Below are 6,370 nucleotides of genomic sequence, written 5' to 3'. Positions count from 1 at the left end.
TTTCTGATACAAAACCAGTGTCCACCATCTTCCTCCTGAGAACCACTGCCCTGGGGCGGGGTGGGTGGTGAGAATCAGGTTGAATTCAAAAACAACGTGAACTATCTAGTGGGAAGAGTGAATCTGAAATCTCTTTTTAAATGTACTCTCTCTCACAGATAGTTTCTAGAGTGTGCCATATGTACAGATTCAGCTTCTTTCTTTCTTTTTTTTTATTTTTTTGAGACAGAGTCTTGCTCTGTCACACAGGCTGGAGCGCAGTGGTGCGATCTCTGCTCACTGCAACCACCGCCTCTTGGGTTTAAGCGATTCTCCTGCCTCAGCCTCCCGAGTAGCTGGGATTACAGGCACACGCCACCATGCCCAGCTCATTTTTGTATTTTAGTAGAGATGAGGTTTCACCATGTTGGCCAGGCTGGTCTTGAACTCCTGACCTCAAGTGATCTGCCCGCCTCGGCCTCCCAAAGTGCTGGGATTACAGCCATGAGCCACCACGCCCGGCCGTACAGATTCAGTTTCTAAGGAAGGTTTTGCCTCGTGCAAACATTGAGGCTGCTCCCAAATACAGCAAACCATGGGAAAACCTCCGTGTGAGTTTAAATAGGTTGAGTCTGTCACTATAGTAACAAAACTGACTTGCTAAATGAGTTTGCAGTATCCCACAAAAGACAAAAAATAAATTGGAGCTGATTTGGTAGGAAATGTCATTTTTCAAAAGTTGCTATAGTTAATGAGGATGCAGAGGGACTATTTCCTTTTAATTATGAAATGTTGACATTTTAGGTCTTGGTAGCTTCGGAATGGAGGGACATCTGTGGAGTATGTTGGGCACTTGTATCCTTCTCCTTGGATTTTTTTTTTTTTTTTGAGGGAAAGCCTATTTCAGACTACTGGGTTTACAGTTGAATGGCAAAATGGGATCTTTCCAATTACCAGATTTATTTAATATATTTTACGTCAAGTGAGAAAAATATTTATAAGGTAAGAATAAGCTTTAAAAAGCCAAATATGCAAAATCCCACACATTTGTTCCAATTACTTGCTACCTGATCTGTGTTTAATGTTAAGCCAAATCTGTATTCCCAAGTATTTACTATTTAATTAAATGTTCCTTTCTGTTAACTGCAGACCTGCTAAGCCATTATTTATTACCAGTCTCTCTCTCTCTCTCTTTTTTTTTTCCACGCGGGCTGTATTCTGGATTACATAACTGGTCGGAGCGAACTGTCAAGGCTCGGCATTCACAGGCATACCTCCCACCCAAACGCCAGCCTGGGCTTTTCAGCCTCAGCTGCTTTCCTTTATTTTCTCCTGGCGCAAGTCATAATTCTGTTGACTTAAGGCAGATCATTTTGTTTAACCATATATATTTATTTAAAATGAACTTTGGACTCAAATAATGCCTATGTTGTCAGTGTGAGTGCTATTTCCTTTCGAAATGTAAAGAGAGTTGATTTTGCTCATTTTGTAGTTTGAAAGAAGCCAGACTCCCAATACAGCACACTAAAAGCTTGGCTTTCGCTATAGAGCACGGCCAACTCTAGAATAAAATTTCTTTGCATAAATCTTTGGCTAAACTCTTTTGATGTGATCTGTGGCCAAGTTCTCATCTCCTTTCCCTCGGCAGTGCATTTTCTCAGAATACGGAGTTCTCATTAATGTCAGTGGGTCAACACCTACCCCAGGGCTTTTTTCTAAAAGAATTTCATGCTCAGGGCAAGCTTGTGCTGAGAATATATGAATGATGACAAAACAAAAACAAAACAAAGCAATGTGATTGATGTTAACCTGAAACACTCATTTTTAAAAGCAATTTCTGAGTGTTCTGTTTATTTCTATGATACTCATCATTGATCTATACCAGGACTTTTACTCTTTGTTAGGAGGACAGAAATATTTGGAAAGGTGCTGAGAAACACTGTCAATTTCCCAGTACCTATAGATAGACATAAAGGCAGATACAAGGCTGGGCGCTATGGCTCACGTCTGTAATCCAAGCACTTTGGGAGGCTGAGGCAGGCAGGTTACAAGGTCAGGAGATTGAGACCATTCCGGCTAACACAGTGAAACCCGGTCTCTGCTAAAAATACAAAAAATTAGCCGGGCGCGGTGGCACCCGCCTATAATCCCAGCTACTCGGGAGGCTGAGGCAGGAGAATCGCTTGAACCTGGGAGGCGGAGGCTGCAGTGAGCCGAGACTGTGCCATTGCACTCCAAACTGGGCGACAGAGGGAGGCTCCGTCTCAAAGAAAAAAGACAGATACAAAAGGCTATTTCCTAGTATCAGTTCATCCCAAGAAATGTCACATGTCACATGATTCTAAAATGTTTTGGCTAGAGTGATACTGTAGAATAATTTCTTGTTGCCTTTGTGTTGATTATAGTAGCAGTAAAAATTACAGCATGCTCTGCTTTTGTTTATTCAGTTATTTACTAGTACATGGGATTTTGTCTTTTGGCAAGGGATTTATTGAAAATGAAATAGCTATATTGATAATTTAGTAGTGATTTAAAATAAATAAATGATTTATTCAGGTTTTTTAAAGGATAAAAATTATAAGAAGCTAATGAACCTCTTATATACCCCAAGGCTTCAGTGTTCATGAACTCTAGCAGATTTTTAGACAAAGTTAACACCAGGACACATTAAAAATATGAAAAATTATAAATAAAAAGGCATGCTTGCTTGAAAACATGTCATGTTTATTTAATGTCAGTGCTTTGTTACAAAATTTCACAAAACGTATTTTCTCAGCCAATGTAAATGCTTCACATTTGCAGCTGGACTTTGATTAGTGGCAGTGGTTTAAATGGTATTACTGAGAAGTTTTGAGATCAGTACTTTAAACAAGAGGAACAGTATCTTGGTAAAGAGAAGGTTGTGCTTTAGGAATGTGCCAATTTAATGAGAAATACGCTTCCAAGGAAACTTTTGATAGAAATAATTCCTGGTGTGGAAAACACTGAATGTTTGTCTTCCTCAACAAGTGATTTTATTGCTTCTGCATAAACATATAAGAATGTATCATAGCCACATGAAAAATAGTGAATAACTTAACAGTTATTTTTTCTACTTGATCCAACAAGTGTTCAGCGTGCAGGAAATAGATCGATAGCATATACCACTCATTGTGTCTCCAAACTTGCTTACATCATGCATTTAATGGGAAGTTTTCTTCTTGTGATGCAGCCTTGTGAGGAAGATACTTGTCTGTCTCGTGTGACTATGGTTTGTCTCCAGCCTCCCCTCACCTCTGGAAGTTACGATCCTAGCAAGGTTTGTTGATAATGCTGCTCCGGAGTTTGGGGTGTGCAGTCTCAGTTTTGCTTTCATTATTGTGAGGAAGCTGCAGAATGCCAGACTGTCTCTGAGGCATTACTATAAATGTAGATTGTGAAGTGCAAAGCACCAGGGAAATCATGTTTCGCAATTTGGGTATAGGGAGAAGATTCAACTTTAAACATAAAAGGGTCAATTTAACGAAGGCTTGGGGTGATTTAGGCAGAAGCACTGTCAGTAGCAGGGCTTGTTCTCTCCAAAGACCTATGTGAATTAAGTGATCAAAGGTATTGTTCATAAGGATTGAATAGGCAGACACATTTACAGAGCAGCTGAAATCATTAGTAAATGAACAAGATTGCATGTGGGTAGAATGACCAATGAATAGGCTGATAGACACATTTAAAGACCAGCTGACATCATTAATAAATGGACACACTTGCCGGTTAAGATCAAAATTCAGTTTTTATTTTAATTTAAAATTGCGTAATTTAATTTAGTCTCTATTTTCTTAACAATATGATACCGGTGCACATATTTTAAAAGGACACTGAACCGTGAGGACAATGACATGAAATTTCTTAAATATTCTAACATATTTATATAGAGAAAATTACTTTGTCCTTAGTATATAGATGCCCTCCCTGCATAAGCCCTGGTTAGTGGTCAACTCCAAGATCAAGGTAGATATAACCATAGCTCAGGCGAAGTATGGTGGATCATTGCTCTTGTCAAATCTGCTCTGTGCAAATTAGACTTTTCCATGTAGTTAAATCACACTTTTCACACATTTGTGGCCAATGGCTCTATTGAAGTAGACTAGAGAACATGTGGATTGTTACAGTGTACAAAGGATTCTGTGATTAATTTGCTACTTTATTGGGACTTCCAGTGATCTTGGCCAGCTTTTTAGCCAAATGATTCATTCCGAAGCTCCTGTCAGCTCTAACAGTTGATAGATGTTTGATTTTGGTCTGCTTTCTTAGCAGAATGCCTGAGAAAATCTTTGTTAGAATCACTTATTAATTTATAATCCACCAAAATTGATTTTCAAATCGTGTTTCTTACATCAAGGAACTATTTTGACCAATATTTTTTATTTGATCAGACAAAATTAATTTTTTTTTCATTTGCTCCACTTTGCCAATATATTTAGAGCCAATCGGAGAGTTCTCTGATCTTCAGTTTTGTGTGGAATTGCATGTAGTTTATCAGGTTTAATCATGTAATTGACAGACTAGCCAGAAAGATTCAAGATTTCAAGGGCTAAGCACAGTTGGTAAAGTGCTAGCCTTTTGTAATCCAATCTGACTAATTCCAAGGGATGAAAATAGCATTAGAACAAATGCACAGGAAGTGCAAAATCGAAGGGCAATGAACTTATTGTTTTACTTAAGATTATCAAAAAGTAAAAGTTAAAAAATGAAAACTTTAAAAAGGGGTTTTTAAATGCCGTAGCATAAACCCATGTTTGTCTGAAAGTGCTTTGTGCATTTTTTCTTATAATTCCCATCTTTTTATGTATAACAGAGTGTTAGTCTTCCAAGTTAAAATTTGAAACATTTAAAATTTCAAATTTGAAGCATTTAAAGATCACTATTGATAACACTTACAAGCATCATGCTGATTAGGAACGAAAGTAGCTGAAAAAGTGGTATTGGTAAAACTTATAATGGTTTTTCTCATGTCAGATCATAAAAAAATCACTTACATTTACAAAATTTATTTTTACTAGAAGACTATTATTATGTTCATTATAGTTTTGCTCTAGATTATACGCTTCAAAAATGTGTTGATTTAATGCTTTTTATTTATAAAGGAAGTGATTTATTTTCAATGAACTGCCTGTATTAAAACTCAAGTTCTACCATTTACTAGCTGTATGACCTTGGGCAAAATACTCAAAACGCTTGTTCCCTGTGTGCCTCAGTTTGTCTGTAACACGGGGATGATAATCAGCCCTACCTGTTAATTTCTTAGGAGGATTCAATGAGTTAATTTTTTTAAGGTGCACGGAGTAAGTTTCTACGTGTCTGTTAAATAAATAAGTAAATCACGTTTGACCTTTTTTCCTTTGTCATTTGTTCCTTCCTGTCTGTTCCCTTACTCCTTTCCTGGTTCCCTACTTGCCTTTATGCCTTCCTTAGCTCTTTCTTTTTTCCTTTCTTATCTCAACACATCAGAAGGCTGAAACAGAAGTTGTATTGAGATCTTTTTTATCAGTTTATTGGCTAACAGATATTTTTAATGGCTTTACTTCTCCTATATATTTTATGTCCTTCTATTTGCATATTTTTTTGGTATCATAAGGAAACACTACTCTCCATGCAAAATAAATATATAAAAATCTAGACTGAAAAGCCCAAGGTGTGTTTCATAATTAAATCATCATCATGTAGGTGAGATTAGGAGAAAGGGAACAGTTTGACATTTACTGACATTACTGATCCCCAGAAGTCAGATCCTATTTCTCAGAGCTTGTTTGAAGGTAGTGGTGCCCAGAGCCTCTTAATAAAGATAATGGGCCAATGTGATTAAGGAACTTTCCTTTAGGGACCTTACAGTGATGATCAAAGATCTGATGCCTCATTGAAAGCATGTCAGTATCACCTCATTTTAACATTGAATGAGTTCACCTTAGGATTACATTCACATTAGTGTGAGTTAGATGTCCAGGCTCAAGTATCAAGGAGCAAGAGAAGAAAAAATGAAAATATATTCATCTAGAAATCAGCCATACACCTAAAGAACTCATTTTAAAGATCATTATAAAAGATGTGTGCTAGGTACTGTGGTTTCCAATATAAATTAACAATGGAAACTCTTGAAATGGGGGCAACTGGGTTTCAAAGAATTTTCTTAATCATGAAACTAACATTATCATTCATGAGAACCATTCTAGGAAGTATGCCAAGGAATATGCCTTTGGAAATGCCTAATATTTATTTTGACTTAGATTGTCTTAGTATAGTATCATTTGTTTCCCAGGATTTGGCTATTTACAGAGAAAATAAAGAATTTCCTACCAATGTGAAGGAACTAGATTTAGATATAACTCACTGCAAATAATAATTCATTGACTAATTGTAC

General features: G+C 36.9%; 5 annotated features.

The window, feature by feature from the left end:
* Positions 1,264-1,408: an enhancer, noted in NCBI's record as "145 bp enhancer 42 fragment used in the MPRA reporter construct; PK_construct_1198". NCBI's record gives its function as "activates an SV40 promoter by MPRA in HepG2 cells {active_cell/tissue: HepG2}" and the evidence as "EXISTENCE:reporter gene assay evidence [ECO:0000049][PMID:23512712]".
* Positions 1,264-1,460: a biological region, named in NCBI's record as "HNF4 and FOXA motif-containing MPRA enhancers 14 and 42".
* Positions 1,316-1,460: an enhancer, noted in NCBI's record as "145 bp enhancer 14 fragment used in the MPRA reporter construct; PK_construct_1561". NCBI's record gives its function as "activates an SV40 promoter by MPRA in HepG2 cells {active_cell/tissue: HepG2}" and the evidence as "EXISTENCE:reporter gene assay evidence [ECO:0000049][PMID:23512712]".
* Positions 1,331-1,342: a transcriptional cis regulatory region, noted in NCBI's record as "FOXA motif; enhancer 42 activity is reduced when this motif is scrambled". NCBI's record gives its function as "necessary for full enhancer 42 activity {active_cell/tissue: HepG2}" and the evidence as "EXISTENCE:site-directed mutagenesis evidence [ECO:0005528][PMID:23512712]".
* Positions 1,381-1,394: a transcriptional cis regulatory region, noted in NCBI's record as "HNF4 motif; enhancer 14 activity is reduced when this motif is scrambled". NCBI's record gives its function as "necessary for full enhancer 14 activity {active_cell/tissue: HepG2}" and the evidence as "EXISTENCE:site-directed mutagenesis evidence [ECO:0005528][PMID:23512712]".

Source organism: Homo sapiens, chromosome 8 (genome assembly GCF_000001405.40).
Source record: "Homo sapiens chromosome 8, GRCh38.p14 Primary Assembly".
NCBI classification, from domain to species: Eukaryota; Metazoa; Chordata; class Mammalia; order Primates; family Hominidae; genus Homo; species Homo sapiens.
Note: the sequence above shows the minus strand (reverse complement) of the source record. Positions and strands in the feature narration are given on the sequence as shown.